Source organism: Homo sapiens, chromosome 2, assembly GCF_000001405.40.
Source record: "Homo sapiens chromosome 2, GRCh38.p14 Primary Assembly".
In the NCBI taxonomy this organism is placed as follows: Eukaryota; Metazoa; Chordata; class Mammalia; order Primates; family Hominidae; genus Homo; species Homo sapiens.
This window is the reverse complement of record NC_000002.12, coordinates 101,549,615-101,568,128: the sequence shown is the minus strand read 5'-3', so window position 1 is coordinate 101,568,128 and position 18,514 is coordinate 101,549,615. Positions and strand designations below refer to the sequence as shown.

General features: G+C 45.1%; 1 long non-coding RNA gene across 4 annotated transcripts, besides 1 other annotated feature; it reads left to right on the top strand.

Annotated features, from left to right (window-relative positions):
* Positions 1–227: 227 nt before the first annotated feature.
* LOC105373514 (uncharacterized) lies at positions 228–16,541 on the top strand. 4 transcript variants are annotated; one of them, XR_923112.4, is made up of 5 exons: positions 228–315; positions 2,192–2,312; positions 2,831–2,987; positions 11,762–12,027; positions 16,349–16,541. It is a non-coding gene; the product is annotated as an uncharacterized LOC105373514 (long non-coding RNA). The 4 variants fall into 4 exon arrangements; XR_923111.4 differs by having other exon boundaries at positions 234–358; XR_923113.4 differs by lacking the exon at positions 2,192–2,312.
* Positions 1,055–1,630: an enhancer, noted in NCBI's record as "NANOG hESC enhancer chr2:102182961-102183536 (GRCh37/hg19 assembly coordinates)". NCBI's record gives its function as "activates a minimal SCP1, AML or CMV promoter by ChIP-STARR-seq in naive H9 embryonic stem cells {active_cell/tissue: H9 hESC(naive)}" and the evidence as "EXISTENCE:reporter gene assay evidence [ECO:0000049][PMID:30033119]".
* Positions 16,542–18,514: the final 1,973 nt, after the last annotated feature.

Here is an 18,514-nt window from a genome sequence, read left to right as displayed (position 1 = left end):
GAAGCTGGTGATCAGCAGCTTCCCAGTAAGATCTCAGGAGCTGGGCGAGTGGGCTTAAGCATGTGCATTGAGAGGCAAAATGGTAGAGTTTAACTGGTATGTGTCCTCCTAGGAACATTCGACTGGTAAGGGAAGAATGCCTCAAGTGAGCATGCGTACAACTCCAGTAAAAACACTGCGCATGCTCCCCTCCCAAGTGCTGGCAGGCCACTGGGCATGCGGAAAGCCCACCCCAAGGGAACAATCAGGGAAGAAGGAACGCAAGACGGTGGAAGCATGCCAACCTATTAAACCGCAAGTCAGAGATCAAACCATGTACTTGAATCTCTCAAGTTCCCGGCTTAACCCTCTTCCAAGTGTAATTTACTTCCTTTCATTCTGGCTCTAAAGCTTTTTTTTTTTTTTTTTTGAGACAGAGTCTCCCTCTGTCGCCCAGGCTGGAGTACAGTGGCACGATCTCGGCTCACTGCAACCTCTGCCTCTCAGGTGCAAGTGATTCTCCTGCCTCAGCCTCCCAAGTAGCTGGAATTACAGGCGCACACCACCACACCCAGCTAATTTTTTTTGTATTTTTAGTAGAGACGGGGTTTCACCATATTGGTCAGGCTGATCTCGAACTCCTGACCTCAGGTGATCCACCTGCCTCAGCCTCCCAAAGTGCTGGGATTACAGGCTTGAGCCACCGCGCCTGGCCTAAAGCTTTTTAATAAACTCTCATTCCTGCTCTAAAACTTGCCTCAGTCTCTAACTCTGACTTATGCCCCTCGGTTGGATTATTTCTTCTGAGGAGGCAAAAATTGAGGTTGCTGCAGACCGTTACAGAATCCTTGCCGGTAACACTTTACTGGGGGTCTGTATTTATATAACCAATTCCCCATTCTTGAGCATCTGAAAGAATCCCTATCTTTTACAATTGTAAATAAATAATTTTTTTCTGCAGTGTAAACAGGAGAAAATACCTACCCAAAGTAGGGTGTTGGGCTAGAGGTCACGAATCACATTGACAGTTCTTTATTATGCATATTGCCACACTGTTGTCCTGAATGATCAAACCGACTTAGAATTTGACTAAGCTGGATATTTACATTCTTGTTTGCTAGCTTTATAGGTCCTTCAGGCTATCATAAAAATGTATATTTACATTTCTGAAATTGCGGCTATGCATTGATTCATTATATTTGCTTGTGTGTAAACTGTCTGGCTGCTTTGATCCCGTATCAGATAGAACCTAGGTATTGATCTTTCATATTTGTCCACAGTCTCTGTTGTCCGGAAGGCATTTTATCAGTGATATTCTCCCTTCCCTCTGCACACAGGTTGTTGGCTTGCCCTTGGCGCACTGGGGTGAGGGGTCTGGTTATCAAAGGAGATGCTGCCAGGGCACAGCTGCTCTGTCCTTGAGCCTCTTTGAAGTCTAAACAGAAAGCATTTCAGCACTTAATAGCACTAGGTTAGTGCTTTCAGTGCTATCTCTAGGAAGAGTTAACTTCTATCCTTTGGGTTTTATCACACCTCCTTCCTGGGACCTACTAATGCAATATTCCAAGATTGAGAGCTTCCTTTTTAACAATAGAGGAGAAATCATACACATTCTCAGTGCCTGTGAATTCTAATCACTACTCATCTAAGATATTTTGGTTTTGCAATGTCTTTCTGTTCATCCAACGCAGCACTGCTTGCTCACAATCAAAAGTGCAAATATGCACCTTCCATAACTCCTCTAGGCTAGACCCTGCCATCCCATCAGCACGGGTACCCAAGATTTGAGCTCAAACCTGGACTATTCCAACCATTTCCTTTTAAACTCCATCCTGGGAAATAGCAACTGAAAAATTTGGAAAAGGAAGTTGTTTTTCAGTGCTTGGAAGTGGAATTACCACTTGTTTATGATCAACAGATAAAACTAAGCAGGGGCCTCACCAAAGCCCGGAGTGATGTCAAGAACCACGGCAGGTGTACGTGTAATGCTGGGAGAAGACTGGTGGAGGTCAATCTATTCTGCCTTTTGGGCAGCTGCTGAGATAGCTGGAGGAAGGAGAACTTCTCCTTAACCTCTGCTAATGACTAGTCATCTGCTTTCCCCAGGACAAGCTTCCAATTCTAGGTTATTCAGGAATTGTTCAAAGGGGGGAAAAATCCATTCCCATGAGGCAGGTGCATCAGAGAGCATTGACACTCAGTCTCCCTGCAGAGCATTGCGAAGCTGATCTCAGACAAACGCAGCCCATGGAAGAATGCTAAGTGCTCGTGATTGGTTAAAACTCAAATAAAAAGTTGAAGTGGAGACGATATATACCTGTTCCAAAATACAGGTATATGGGAGTGAAGGGGAATGAAATTGCTTAAAAGTTTTCTTTTCTTTTCTCTTTTCTTTTCTTTTCTTTTCTTTCTGTTTTTGAGACGGAGTCTCGCTCAGTCACCCAGGCTGGAGTGCAGTGGTATGATCTCAGCTCATTGCAGCCTGCGCCTCCCAGGCTCAGACAATTCTCCTACCTCAGCCTCCTGAGTAGCTGGGATTACAGACATGTGCCACCATGCCCAGCTAATTTTTGTCTTTTTAGTAGAGACGGGGTTTCACCATGTTGGCCAGGCTGGTCTCAAACTCCTGACCTCATGATCCACCTGCCCTGGCCTCCCAAAGTGCTGGAATTATAGGTGTGAGCTACTGCGCCCGGCCAAAAGTTTTCTTAATTAGTCAAATCAAGATGTTACAAATATGTTAGTGTGATTACATATATGATTGATTTTAGCTTGGTCTCTGATAAACATGTTGATATAAATCTTTGCTTCAGGTTTAGGGGAATTTTTACTTTTCCTTTTTTCTTTACAGATCCTCATTTGAAAATGGAAAAAGAAAAGAAATGGAGGCATTGTGTGATATTTGCCTAAATATAACTAAAGAGATCCATTTATTTTTAGTGTTTGATTAAAAACCCTCAAAGGAAAAGAGAAATTTTGATCTTTGAGAAGAGCTGTTTCATCACAGGGTGAGCGTTCTTTATTCTTCCTTGCCATTTAAGAGTTTAAAAGGTTGGGAAAGAGAGCTTTCCTTTTTCTGTTTTCCCACTCTCTAGGGTTCTTATGGGTTAACTCCTCCTCCTTCTTTCCAGATGCCACCAGGACCCATTTCTGGCAACAGGGAGCACGAAATGATGCCTCCAAGTGTAAGATAGAGGCTTCTAGGCAGGAAGTGATGGAAAAGGGCTCTCTTATGAGGAAGGGTACTGTGGGGTGAGGGGATATTCATTGCATGGCAAAGAAAGTATTACATGGAGCAACCAGTCTCCCCTTCCAAACAGGAAATGACCATCCCTCTCCAGAGGAGTTTCCACACCCCCTCCCAGAATAGCATTTTGGGTAAGAATGTGGACATTGACTACTCAATGACAGAACTCCAGTTACCCATGCTGCAGCCAGGAGCTGGCAGAGGCCTTTAAAAGGCAGCAACATTTTGTAGAAATAAAGCAATAGGGATTCACTCCTTATGGATAGCACTGGTTGTGAGTAAGCCAGAGTCAAGGGTAAGGAAGGGTTGAAGCCAGGAGTGAATAGCCCAGGACCTCTAGAACGCAGGAGACAAGGGTGAGAGACAAGGTCAAGGGCACTGCTGAAGAGGGCTGGGGCTGGACCAGAGCTAGCCCAAGGTGACTGGAGGAACTCAAGGTTAAGAGCTACCTGAGGAGCCGGACAGTCTGTTTTAGGAACTTAAAATTTATGTGAAAAAGCAGGTCTCTAAGGGAGCAGCAGCTCATGCCTGTAATCCCAGCCCTTTGGGAGGCTGAGGAGGGAGGATCAAAGGATTGTTTGAGGCTAGGAGTTCAAGACCATCCTGGGGGAACATAGTGAGACCCCCATCTCTACAAAAATAAAACTAAAAAAATTAGCTGGGCATGGTGGTGTGCACCCGTAGTCCTAGCTATTCAGGAGGTTAAGGCAGGAGGATCACTTAAGCCCAGAAGTTCATTGCTGCAGTGAGCTATGATCACGCCACTGCACTCCAGCCTGGACAACAGAGCAAGACACTGTCTCCAAAAAAAAAAGCGGGTCTACATAGTAAGGGTCAGTCAGTCATAACTTCCTTAAGGTCTCACTTTAAAGAACCTTTTCTTCTTCGTCCTCCTCCTCCTCCTCCTCCTCCTCCTCTTCTTCTTCTTCTTCTCCTTCTCCTTCTCCTTTCTTCTCCTTCTCCTTCTCCTTCTGCTCCTTCTCCTCCTCCTCCTTCTCCTTCTTCTTCTATTATTATTATTATTATTGAGAGATATCTGGGCTGAGTGGGCAGTCCATATTCTGCTGTCTAGAGACAATTTCTCTTTAAAGAATCCGACATGTCAACGGGGCATGATGGCTCACGCCTGTAATCCCAGCACTTTGGTCAGGCCAAGGTGGGCGGTTCACCTGAGGTCAGGAGTTTGAGACCAGCCTGGTCAACATGTCAAAACCCCATCGCTACTAAAAATACAAAAATTAGCTGGGCATGGTGGCAGGTGCCTGTAATCCCAGCTACTCAGGAGGCTGACGTGGGAGAATCACTTGAACCTGGGAGGCAGATGTTGCAGTGAGCTGAGATCATCACGCCATTGCACTCCAGCCTGGGCGACAAGAGTGAAACTACATTTCAAAAAAAAAAAAAAAAAACCAACTTGTCAAGGCTCATTTCTGCTAGAATGCTACTGTGTTCAAAAGCTCCTGAGTAAATGATGGCTCTTGCAGGGGTCAAGGGCTCTCATTTTGCCCCCTGCTTTACTCATCTTTCCAGCCAGCCCTGGATCTCAGATGAGAGCAAGTTCAACATTAGAGACAAAGATTATTTTCAACTAAGCAACTCCTGTGGTTCCCTGTCAACTCCAGAAACTTCCAACCCATAAAAGCCACAAAAATCTCCCTTTCCTAAAGTGAGCTCATGAAGGGAGACAGATCTAGTGGACAGGGGTTGGCAAACATGTGACCTGCAGGCAGCTCCCTTCCCCTGTGGCCCGAGGGGTGTCACTAGGGGGTCACAGTCTTCCCCACCGAGCCTCGATGTGAACCTAGACTCTTCTAATCTCCAACACTCAGCACTGCAGCACCTTTGTTAACCATCGGGGTTGGCATGCAGGTGGAAATTTATTCGCCATCCCAGTGATAGAATAACTGGTCCTGGCTGTACTTTGCATACATTGATCAATTTAGATTCTTCTCTACTAAGCACAAAGACATGAAATAATTGAAAACAGAGTTAAAATGTGTCTTCTGAAGATGCAGATAATCCTAATGGGAAAATAGGGGCTGACCCTCTGGGTTCTGTATAAATAAATGCGTCTGAGTCCACTGCAAGTGGACTCCAGGCCGGGATGGAACAGAGGTGTGAGCTGAAGTGGGAAGTGGAGAGGGTACGTTTTGCAGGTGTTTGAAATGAGTGAAGAGCAAGACTGGGGAAGAGGAGGGATCATGCCAAAAAGACAGAGCAGCCTGAGTGTCCTAGGGGCAATGAGGGCCCCAGGAATCATAGGCAGCTGGGTTGGGAGAGTCCGATTATAGGAGAACAGAGCAGGGCTCTGGAACTACAGCATGGGGACACAGGCGGGAAATCTGCAGGTGCCATTGACGTGCATGGGCTACAGGTGAGCCAGGATGGAGCAAACAGGCCTGGAAGTCCAAGCAGGCAGGGATGTGGAATTACGAAGTTTAAGTTTAACATCATGGAGAGGAAAAGCCATCAAAGTGAATCTGATCTGAAGGGAGGGAGGGATTCTCCTGTTATTTTTATGCCTCTTCCTTGTGTGGCAAGCACGGGGGATGTCAAGGGGTGCTGACTTCCAGGATTTACACTGAGAGAGCGAATGTGTGGACAGGCAGCATGGTGAATCCTCAGGTGAGCTGGCGGCGTGAGGCCGACGAGCATGAGGGAGAGAGGGGAAACCCAGCCAGCGTTCGAGGGCCTACAAGTCAGCCTAGAAAGTTATGCTGAGCTATTAAAATAGTCCATGTGGTAAGAGGCTTAAGTTGGGTGGCATTCTTCTCATGTTTACATGATTTCTCCTCATGTCACTGCTAAAACCTCTCAAATCTGAGTTGGAAGGTGGAGTAGCTACCATTTGAATGAGTGGGGTCAAGACAATCCTACTTTTTTTTTTTTTTTTTTTGAGACAGAGTCTCGCTCTGTCACCCAGGCTGGAGTATAGTGGCGCGATCTCAGCTCACTGCAAGCTCCGCCTCCCGGGTTCAAGCAATTCTCTGCGTCAGTCTCCCGAGTAGCTGGGACTATGGCGCGTGCCACCACACCCGGCTAATTTTTTTGTATTTTTAGTAGAGACAGGGTTTCACCATCTTGGCCAGGCTGGTCTTGAACTCCTGACCTTGTGATCCACCCGCCTTGGCCTCCCAAAGTGCTGGGATTACAGGCGTGAGCCACCGTGCCTGGCCAAGACAATCCTACTTTTCATCAGGTTGCTGGGATCAGATATCTGTGTCCATGGAGCCAAGAGATACACATTTATGCATTCATTTGCTCATTCACTCATTCACTTGTTCAACAAATATTATTATAAGCTGGGTCCTACCAATTGGGTGGTTTGATACAACTTATTTTGCCCATAAATAGGATGGCCATGAACTACAATACACATACATTCCTGTCCTCTTCAGCACAACAGTCAACAGGAAAGGGGGATGAAGACGAGGCAGAGGCAGGCAAGGACACAGACGAGCCAGGGACCCCTGAAGGGGTGCTGGGCTAGGAGGCTCCACCAGCATCCTCCTCAGCTTTATCATCTGGCTTCTCCTACTTTTCCAGCCCCCAACCCAGGCCCCTCCCCTGGTGCCTGGTGCTCCACCCAGCTCCGACCACTAACCGAGCACACCCATATCCATACGTGAACTAAGACTAACAAAACCACCACCATTTACTGAGAACTTCCAGTGTGCCCAGGCCTAGGCTAGATGCTTTACGGTCAAGGTTACATTTATCCTCACATCCATTCCATCAAGTAGGCCCTGTCTTCTCTTTTGTACAGATGAGGAAGTTGGGGTTTAGAGTGGTTAAACTGTTAGTCAGTGGTGGTGTTTCCTGCAGCACTGGAAGTTTCTTCTGTCTTCAGAAAAACATTGGCTTTCACAGGAAGTCAAGCAAAATGGGTTGAAGTTTGTATTAGTTCTCCAGGGCTGCTGTAACAAAGCATCACAAACTGGGTGGCTTAGAACCATGGGAATGAACAATGAGACTCATGGTTCCGGAGGCCAGAAAGTCAAGACTGAGGTGTCGGCTAAGCCAGGCTCCCTCTGAAGGCATTAGGGAAGGATGTGTTCCAGGAGTCTTCCCTCATTTCTAGTATTTCCTTGGCTTTGGCAGCAGAACTCCAGTCTTTACACAGTGTCCTGCATGTGTGTGTGTGTGTGTGTGTGTGTGTGTGTGTGTGTGTGTACACACACTTCCCCTTCCTATGAGGGCTTCAGTCATATTGGAGTAGGGACTGACCAGGGACCATACTACTCCTGTATGATCTCATCTTAACTGATTGCATCTGCAATAACACTATTTCCAAATAAGGCCACATTCTGAGATCCTGGGGGTTAGGACTTCAACAAGGGAATTTTGGGGGACACGATTCAACTCAACACATGCCAGAGTTGTAGGGGCAGATGGATGAATCCTAGTTGTTTTGTGACCTATTTCTCTACTCTCTCAGCAGGACCACACGGTTTGCTGCTACCATGGAAGCAGCATGGAAACCACACGGTTTGCACGGTGGAGTGCAGCAGGGAAACACTGGGAATGGAGGGGAAGGGAGGTTCTAACAACTCTTCTCTCCTACTCGTGGGCCTCACCCATGGTCAGGCTGTGTCTGCTTCTCCTGAAGGTGATACAGAGGCCCCCCATCTTGTGAGGACTCATATGTCCTCTGTGCATACAGGTTGGCTCCTTTTTTTTTTTTGAGACAGTCTTGCTCTGTCGTCCAGGCTGGAGTGCAGCCGTGCGGTATTGGCTCATCGCAACCTCCACCTCCTGGGTTCAAGCAATTCTCCTGCCTCAGCCTCCCAAGTAGCTGGGATCACAGGTTCACAGGTGTGTGCCATCACACCAGCTAATTTTTTTGTGTGTTTTTAGTAGAGACAGGGTTTCACCATGTTGGCCAGGCTGGTCTTGAACTCCTGACTTCAAGTGATCCGCCTGTCTCAGCCTCCCAAAGTGCTGGGATTACAGGCGTAAGCCACTGTGCCTGAACTCTGAGTATTTTCAATATGCAGTGGGTGGAATCTGGATTCGGAAGCTGTGGATACGGATGGCCAACTGTACCTGGTTCAACCCCCTATTTTACGACAGAGGAAACCCAAGTCCAGCTCACACATCCGGTTCGTGGTCAAGGAATGCAGGCTCCCAGCCCAGAGTTCCACTGCCCTACAATTCTTCTGTACACTCCACCCTCCAACTGTGGCTGGCAGGAGTAGAGGTGGCTGGAGGGCATTTTCATTTGCACCACACCTAATCTGGGGCTGTTTTAAGCAGGAATCAGCGATCAAACAGCAGTGTCATTAGTTTCCAAACTTTCATAGTATCAAGTTAAAATGCAGCCTTTTACTGCTTCTCCATGGAAGCCACCTCTGCCTATTGCTTCCTATATCCTAAAAATAAGACAATACTATAGTTTCTTTTAAAAGAAGAATGAAAAAAGAGAATGAGATAGAGCCCTCATACAGATTCTCATAAAAATCAAACAAAGAGACCCGGAGGGAGAGGCTGAGGGCATATTAAATTTCAGGACTGCCTTCTGATATCCTTCAGATCAAGGCCCACGGATCACTTTCTCTTCTTGGCTTCTATATATAGGCACGACAGTTAGACTGGCCTTTTCTCCAGAGGACAGCTCCACGCTGCTAGGTGCACATCCATGGGAATTTTGATAAGAAGGGGCTGCTCTAGTTTGCATTTTCTCTCTTCATAGTTGGTGCTAGAACCAGTTCCAAAGTCATGGAATTTTTTTTTTTTTCAGATTGTTACTTGAAGTGCAGAATAAAAAAGGATTGCTTTCCCAGCCTTCATGGCTGCATAGTTCAGATAGGGAACACGATTCTATTTAAAGAGATGATGTAAACTATGACCGCACATGTGTTTACAAACACATGCCATGTCTAAGTTTCTAACTCTTAACTAACAATAAGCTCATGAATAGCTGCTAGCTAACCCGAATATTTACTCATGGCCAACAGAGACAGAAATATCTTGTTTAGATGGCTGATGCTGACATTGGATGCCAGAAGTTTCTGACAAGCGTCTTTCTCTCACTCTTTCCTTGGCCAGTATCCACATCTCCCTGTGGCTGCAGTTTTCTTTCCCTTTAACCAGTGGTTTCCAGTTAACTGCTCACACCAGTGTGTTGGACCTTTCCCGAGGTCTTCTCATAAAGGCTTAGTGCTGAGTGCTGGAAGTTAGATCACATGCACACTGATTTCTCTTCCAAACTAAACTGATTTGGAAATTTATTGCTGTGGCATTTCAAAAATCATGTGTATTCTTCACTCCCTATTTTAACGCGGAAAAGCTAAAAATCGTTCATTAATTGGGAGGAAAAGATTGTGAACATTTTATTTATTCAAGAAACCAGGCCAGGCGCAGTGGCTCACACCTATCATCCCAGCACTTTGGGAGGCCAAGGCAGACAGATTGCCTGAGGTCAGGAGTTCGAGACCAGCCTGGCCAACATGGTGAAATCCTGTTTCTACCAAAAATGTAAAAAATTGACTGGGTGTGGTGGTGTGCACCTGTAATCCCAGCTACTCAGAAGGCTGAGGCAGGAGAATCGCTTGAACCCAGGAGGCGGGGGTTGCAGTGAGCCGAGATAGCACCACTGCACTCCAGCCTGAGTGACAGAGCAAGACTCTGTCTGAAAAACGGTGGCTCACACCTCTAATCCCAGCACTTTGGGAGGCCGAGGTGGGCGGATCACGAGGTCAGGAGATCCAGACCATCCTGGCTAACACGGTGAAACCCCGTCTCTACTAAAAATACAAAAAATTAGCCAGGTGTGGTGGTGGGTGCCTATAGTCCCAGCTACTCGGGAGGCTGAGGCCGGAGAATGGTGTGAACCTGGGAGGCAGAGCTTGCAGTGAGCCAAGATCATGCCACTGCACTCCAACTCCAGCCTGGGCGACACAGCAAGACTCCGTCTCAAAAAAAAAAAAAAACCACCACCAATTAACAAATTTGAAGCACAGAATTTTTGAGGCACAGGATTTTAAAGCCATGAATCTGGGGGGAAAATCTTTGAAAATAAAAGGGGTAGCATTTATCAGCACCCCTTCATAGGGTAAGAATTTTGAAAATAAAATTGAGAAAAACAGGGTAGTCCTTAACATCACCTATGAAATTGTTCTCTCAAAACAAGTGAATCAAACCTCTGGATACAATCACCCATCGACAAGAAATCCGGGAGACAGATGAACATGTTAAATGGCTGCAAAAAATTGCCACTCACAATATCTAGACCACGGGAAACTCTGGACAAATTACCTAGTTTCTTCAATAAGTATATTAGAAAGTACAGAAGTGGGGGCGGGAATATCAGAGGGTCATTCTATTAACGACTTCAAACATCAATCACTTGCAATGTTCAGACCTTATTATGGAGACAATGGGAGGTTTGAACATTAACTGGATATTTGATTATGTTAAGGAACCATTGTCAAATTTTAACGTTGTAATAACAGTATTGTGTTTACACATTTTAAAAATATTTGCCTTTCTTTTAGAAGGATATATTGAAATGTTTACAGAGAAGAGATCCTGGATTTGCCTCAAACAATGTGGTGGGCAGGAGATGGGTGCACAGATGAAGCAAGAGAGCCTTGAATTACACATGGTGGGAGCAGGGATTTGAGTGCATGAGGATTTATGAGGTTCTGCCTACTTATGTACATGTTTGAGATTTTGCATGATAAGACAAAAAAGACAGCACTGCTTAAAGCAAAAATATAGAATCCAGAAATGTCCCCCAAAACTGGCTGTGTTAAAGGAACAAATCAGGGGCAGCACAGGTGTAGGTTCCTGGATGTCCTCAAGTCTCCTCTGCCACCTCCTGTCACGTTGCCTGATACTTCCGTTTCCGTTTTTTCTCCCAAGTGTCCCAGGCCTGGCTGTGCAGGGAAACTCTGGTCAAGATCCGCTGGAAGGTATTTGAGTGTGTGAGGCATGCACCAGCCCTCACGGAGGACTCACTGGAGTTCTCAGCCCTCTTCTTGCTCCTCGGGGCTCTCCCACTTCCTGGCCACGATCGATGGAAATTTTTTTTGAGACGGAGTCTCGCTCTGTCACCCAGGCTGGAGTGCAATGGTACAATCTTGGCTCACTGGAACCTCCATCTCCTGGGTTCAAGGGATTCTCCTGCCTCAGCCTCCCAAGGAGCTGGGATTACAGGCACACACCACCATGCCCAGCTAATTTTTTGTATTTTTAGTAGAGACGGGGTTTCACCATGTTGGCCAGGCTGGTCTCAAACTCCTGGCCTCAGGTGATCCACCTGCCTCAGCCTCCCAAAGTGCTGGGATTACAGGTTTGAGCCACCTTGCCCGGCCATCAATGAAAATTAAAAACAAAATTTTTATAAGATTTTTATTCCAAGCAACTTAATTCTCTTTGCTCATCCCAGCCTATCGTGACAGTTCCCTGAGGATTCCTTTCCTTATTTTACAAAGCACAGCTCTTTCCCTGAGGAATACAATCTCGGTTTTTAAATCAGAGCTGTAGAGTGCAAAAGTGGCCACAGTATTTTGCATCTTCTCCCATCAACAGGTGAAGTTGTTTCCTGAGCCCTTTGATCTGAAATGACCTTGCGACCTGGAACCAGCAGACAGCCTGAGGGAGGCAGTGCATGTTCTGAGCCAGGGCCTCAGGAGGCCTGCAGCTGCCATTCTGCTTCTGTTGGAACATGACCTCCTTGAGAACACTCCCAGGCCTGACTGCAGGGTGGGGAGACCACACAGAGCAGAGCCGAGCCACCGGGATGAGGCCCCTAGATCACCCAGCTCCCAGCTGACCACAGATCATGAGTGATCCCGGTAAGACCAGTCAGGCCAGCACACAGCAGAACCAGCCGACCAGCCTAGAGTTCTGAGCTCAGTAGACGGTTGTCGTTCTAAGGCATTCACTTGGGGATTTTTTTAAAATGCAGAAACAGCTAAGTGATATAGCCTGCAATTATTAATACTTTCCTACTGCATGGTGCAGTTGGGTGGTTACTAAGGAGTAACAGGCACTTGACCAGCGTGGTGATGGGTGAATCAAGAAGAGTATTAATTAAGACTTAGAGGTCAGAGAGGCCTCCCAGAGCAAGAGATGCCTAAATTGACATCTGAACACGAGTAGAAATTAGGCAGGGAAACAATGTGAAAAGATTTCCAGGGAGACGGAACTGTTTCCAGAAGGCTGGAGGCACTAGAAGAATGAATGAATGAATGAATGAAGAGATGGATAAATGAATGGATGGATGAATGATGAATTATCAATGTGATATCTTTTTTTTTTTTTTTTTGAGATGGAGTCTCTGTCGCCAAGCTGGAGTGCAGTGGTGCGATCTCGGCTCACTGCGACCTCTGACTCTCTGGTTTAAGCAATTTTCCTACCTCAGCCTCTTGAGTAGCTGGGATTATAGGCATGCACCACCATGCCCAGCTAATTTTTGTACTTTTAGTAGAGATGAGGTTTCACCACATTGGCCAGGCTGGTCTTGATCTCCTGACCTCATGATCTGCCCGCCTCAGCCTCCCAAAGTGTTGGGATTACAGGCGTTAGCCACCGCGCCCAGCCTCAATGTGACATCTTTGAATCAAAGACCCTTACAGTAAAGACAGATATGCTCAAGGTTGCAATAAAATGAAGCTTTTAGCTTCCATCTGAATTGTCTGGGTATTTTGTCTTTGAGATCTTGAAGTCTAACCCTCTCAGGGAGGTAAACTGAGCCCGAAGTACAGGTTGCTTAGTTTTTTAGAGATTCAAGTACACATTTATCCACCTTAAGAAAATGAGTTCCTTGTGGCCATGGATTGTGTATTTTAGTATTCCTAGACCTACCAGCTACCTGGCACCAAGTGTGTGAGTAAATAAACAAGCCACTATATTACTAACAAGGCTTTAGAGTTCACCAGGGACATTTTCAGCATACTGTTTTTTGTTTTTTTGTTTTTGTTTTTGTTTTTGTTTTGAGACAGAGTCTCACTCTGTCGCCTAGGCAGGAGTGCAATAGTGCGATCTCGGCTCACTGCAACCTCCACCTCCCGAGTTTAAGTGATTTTCCTGCCTCAGTCTCTGGAGTAGCTGAGACTACTGGCTCATGCCACCAATCCCAGCTGATTTTTGTATTTTTAGTAGAGATGGGGTTTCACCATGTTGGTCAGGATGGTCTCGGACTCCTAACCTCAGGTGATGCACCTGCCTCAGCCTCCCAAAGTGGTGTGATTACAGGCGTGAATGACCATGCCTGGCCTTCATCACTTTTTATTAGTACTGTAGGTCCAAATTTGCTCATGCCCTGTCACCAGTCTCTGCCTAGACCTTAATATATATAAATATCACTTTATTCAAACAGCCTTGGCTTCTGTTTCATCGGCCTTACATACTCTCCTGCTGTGTTCATTTTGATCATCCCTTGAATGTTTTAAAATCAGCACCACCTGAACTTCTCACTGGGAGGAGTTTGATTCTTCGTCTCTGTGCTTTCCTGTGTTGGAGAATGATTAGAGCCTCCAGGGTCGTGAACCCACGTTACATTCACTCTATTTTCAAAAAAGGCAATGCTTCGAAAAGGCTCAGGGTGGAAACCATGCGATGCTAGAACTGAAATAGAAATATGCCAGTTTTCAGCAATGAGTAACCAATTTATACATCTTTCTGGTATACTGGAGAGAAAGCAGCTAGAGAGCCTCCTATTTTCTTTTAATTAAAGAAAAGACCTATGAGATACAAAAAACTGAATTAACCTATAGCTTTCAGCTGTGGATTTTATTTACAGAGCTAAAACTTTGGGCTCACATGTATCTATTCCTAATATCTGATGGAGTGATGAGCCAAAGAGGAAAGATTAATAGATATTTAGACAAGCAAGGGGCATTAAAGATCATCTAGTTCCATATACTCATCCTTTACATGCACTCATTTTACAGAAAAGAAACTGAGTCAGGGAGAAGCTAAGCGTGTGCCCAAACTCAGAGAGCTACATGTATTTGGGGGTGACATATGCTTTCATTACCTTGTATTTGGGGGTGACATATGCTTTCATTACCTTGACTGTTGCTGATGGTTTTTCAGTGCATATATATGTCAACACTTATCAAATGATATACTTTAAATATGTGCAGTTATTGTATGTCAAGCATGCCTCAATAAAGCTTTCTTTAATAAAAAGAATAAAGGTAAGATAAGGGGGAAAAAACCACTATTGGACTGTAATCTTTAAAAATCCAACTATGGACATGTTTTCCAACAAATCAATTATTTGATGGAATGAGAGGGAAGGAGAACACACAAATCAAAAGAAATGTAAGGGACCTACCTATCAAATGCAACACATAGATTTATTTGAATCCAGATTCAAGCTGGGAGCGATGGTTGACATCTGTAATCCCAGCACTTTGGGAGGTTGAGGTGGGTGGATCACCTGAGGTCAGGAGTTCAAGACCAGGCTGACCAACATGGTGAAACCCCGTCTCTACTAAAAATACAAAAATTAGATGGGCGTAGTGGTGGGCGCCTGTAATTCCAGCTACTCAGGAGGCTGAGGCAGGAGAATCGCTTGAACTCGGGAGGCAGAGGTTGCAGTGAGCTGAGATTGCACTACTGTACTCCAGCCTGGGTGACAGAGACATAAATAAACAAATAAATAAGATGGGCGTGGTGGCTCATGCCTGTAATCCCAGCACTTTGGGAGGCCAAGGCGGGCAGATCACCGGAGGTTGGGAGTTTGAGACCAGCCAGACCAACATGGAGAAACCCCGTCCCTACTAAAAATACAAAATTAGCCAAGCACGGTGTTGCATGCCTGTAATCCCAGCTTGAACCCAGGAGGCAGAGGTTGTGGTGAGCTGAGATCGTGCCATTGCCTGGACAACAAGAGCAAAACTCCATCTCAATAAATAAATAAATTAATTAATTAATTAATTAATTTGAATCCAGATTCAAACAACTCAACTTTAAAATAACATTTATGAGAACATCAGGAAAATGTATATATTGACTGAACATTTGATTATTTTAGGGATTAATGGTTTTTTAAAGCATGATAATGATATTGTGATTTTGCCTTAAAAAAAAGGTAGGTCTTTTAGAGAGAGACAGACTGAATTATTAATTGATGAAATGTTAGGATGCCTGTCATTTGCTTCAAAACAATCCAATGAAGACATTTGAAACGTTAGAAATTATTGTTAAGATTTTTGGTGTGAACATGGTATTCTGGGTAGTTTTAAAGAGTCCTTGCATTTTTTGTTTGTTTGAGATGGAGTTTTGCTCGTTACCCAGGCTGCAGTGCAATGGTGTGATGCAATCTTGGCTGACTGCAACCTCCACCTCTCGAGTTCAAGCAATTCTCCTGCCTCAGCCTCCCAAGTAGCTGGGATTACAGGTGCCCGCCACCACACCTGGCTAATTTTTTGTATTTTTAGTAGAGACGGGTTTCACCATGTTGGCCAGGCTGGTCTTGAACTGCTCACCTCAGGCAATCTGCCCACCTCGGCCTCCCAAAGTGCTGAGATTATAGGAGCGAGCCATCACGCCCGGCCTAGAGTCCTTGTATTTTTAAGATGCATAATGACATCTTTACAGATGAAACGATGTGATATTTGGGATTTGCTTCAAAATCAACTAGGCAGCGGGGAGCTGGTGGGGATATAGACGGTCATTGTAGATGCTGCTTATGGACACGTGGCGGTTCAGTGGGAGATTCCTCTCTGGCTTGGTATATATTTGACATTTTCCAAGGTATAAAGTTTAAGAACCAAGGCTATAAAGTTATTGATTCACGTCTGGAGTATGAATTGGTGTTGGCTCATTGTGTGAAGGGCTAATGAGGAACTGGGCACATGCACAGAACTAGGGAAACGGCACATAGATTCCAAATGGAAACAGGAGAACTGTGTTTGTTTCTAGGTCTCTGTGACACACACTCTGCAGTGTGGACATACAGAAAGCAGGCAATAAGGCTATCAACAAAAGAAACCCATTGTCTTTCATGACAGATGAAAGCCATTTAACCTCCATTACCATCAGAAGCCTTCAAGTATTGGTGTTTGAAATAAAATTAATGTGCTGGTATTTAAAGATGAAAAAGCCATCCCCAGCATATGCAGCAAAAGTTATAAGAAATCGTTAAATACTCTGTTTCTGCAGTTTCTCCCTAGGTCAAGGGTGATGTTTTGCTCAGAGAAAACTGAAGTTTGGATTGTTCCAGTCCTGCATCACATCCTGTTTCAGGCTGCCCTAAAACAAAACCAGAAACAACCATCACCACAAAACACCATACCTTCAATAGTCTTCTCAGTGTTCAGAATAAAGGCTCTGGTTTTCCCTTGGGCTCAATTTTCATGATTGTGTCTCCTTTGTCAATATGTTTTTCATCTTCCTCACTTTCAAACTGCACTTCCTGTCCAGAAACACTAAACCAAAAGTTGTATTTAACTTTTCACACAGAATCCCTCATGTTGCATCCAGGAAGCCGAGCCTGTAAGTGCAGAGTGGGATCACAGGGTCAAGATGTTTCCTGGATAGCAGCTCCATCTCTGCTCCGTCCAAACTCCCAACGTCCCCGCCATCCACACCCCTGTCCTCAACTCAGAGCAAGTGTGAGGATGAGCAGCCACCAGCAAACAAGGGGCTCATTTTGTGTGTGCATTGCTGCCTTTCAGTGTCAGGGGCACTGGATTTTGTTGACTCCCCTCATTCATTCATGCAGACCATGTGTCCTAGTGGTTGTCACCTGTGTAAGCGATCTTTCCCTGTCCAGTTACTGCCACTTGTCACCTGTCCACTTGTAGGTAAGACTCCAGGAGAAATGCTTCCTTCTTTTCTTGAGTGTAGACTCAACTGAATGGTAGATGAAGGGATCAGCAGCTGGAGATCAACAGGGCAGATTTATTACTGATAAAAACTAGGATGGAGGATGTGGCATAGGTAATCAACCCAAGCTAGCTTGCTAACACACTCTCCATCACTCCATCACACACATCCCTACACCCAGATCCAGTGGAAAGTCCACTTAGGAGAAGCATGCGTTTGCAAGCATACCCTCTAAGCCAAGATCGTACTTCACACTGGCCTGGGGCAGACAGGGAAGAAGAGAGGTTGATACTTCAGGGCTTAGAGGCTTTTAACAGATTAGATCCTCCCAGTGGAGGACATGGACAAATTGCTGTCACTCATGAATCATGTAGCCTGCGGAAGAGTGAGTAAGGGATAGTAACAGACCAGGAGTACTGCTCAAGAAGACATCAACTCACAGGTAATAGGAGGAGTGGGGTAGGAATGTTCCTTCCTAATAAGTGGGTGCATATTAGGGGGTGGGGTAGGTGTGAGGTGGCTGTGATGGTTCAGGACAAAGGAATGAAAAAAAGAAAATAAGGACTCAAACTTTCCACCCTAGGAATCACAAGCTTGGTGGAGGGACAAGGCCAAGAAATGGCTGGTATCAGCTGAGTTATTTATTGTTTCAATTCAATGACTGAGTGATGGCCTTTCATGTTACAGCTTTTCTGAGTAGATGCCTAAACAGATCCTGAGTGGTGAAATTAAAGCTCAGTGGGGATTTTTCAAAACATGGGAACTAGACAAGGAAACCCAGTTTCTAGTTCAAGATCTATGAGCAAAATTGGATAACTGAGCCCCGATAGCCTTTGCAGTAAATTGATATGCCCAGGAAATGCCATGGTTTGGAACAGTCTTTAAAGTTAACTTAAATGTTCAGGGTCTCACTCCAACTGAGGGTACTAAATAATGGAACAGAGAGTAAAGTGCTTATATACAGTAATCATTATGGTTATATTTAGAATCAGATAGGCCAAATGTGTAAAATTCAATGTTTATTGATTATTGTGATGAGAAAACATCTAAAATAACTCCATGCAAGCAGGGGTAGTGTCTACATTTGCTTACAATTATATTCCTAATATTTAGCAGAATGCCTGGTACACCACAGCCATCCCATAAACACTTGCTGGATGAAAGAGTGAATGTCAAGCTAGTGGGTATTGATGGGGTATATATTGTTGCATAGGACAGTAGAGACTGGTTTTAGCAAGAGATTTTCTGCTCTCTAGGAGGACGAGGAAAATGTTAAATAAATGTGGTTTACCAGAAGCTATAACAAGATATAGAATAAGAGCCAAGTAAGCTAGTTTGGGCTTGGAGAAGCAGTCAGATCACTGAGATTAGAAATAGAACAGAGAATAGGTTTCCAGGCCTGTTCATGTAAGCACCTGTGTTCTCTAGCCCTGCTTAGCAGTGGGTGTTGAGGTTCTTTACCCATAGAGTCAAGAAACCTCATCTGTTTCTCACTCAAAA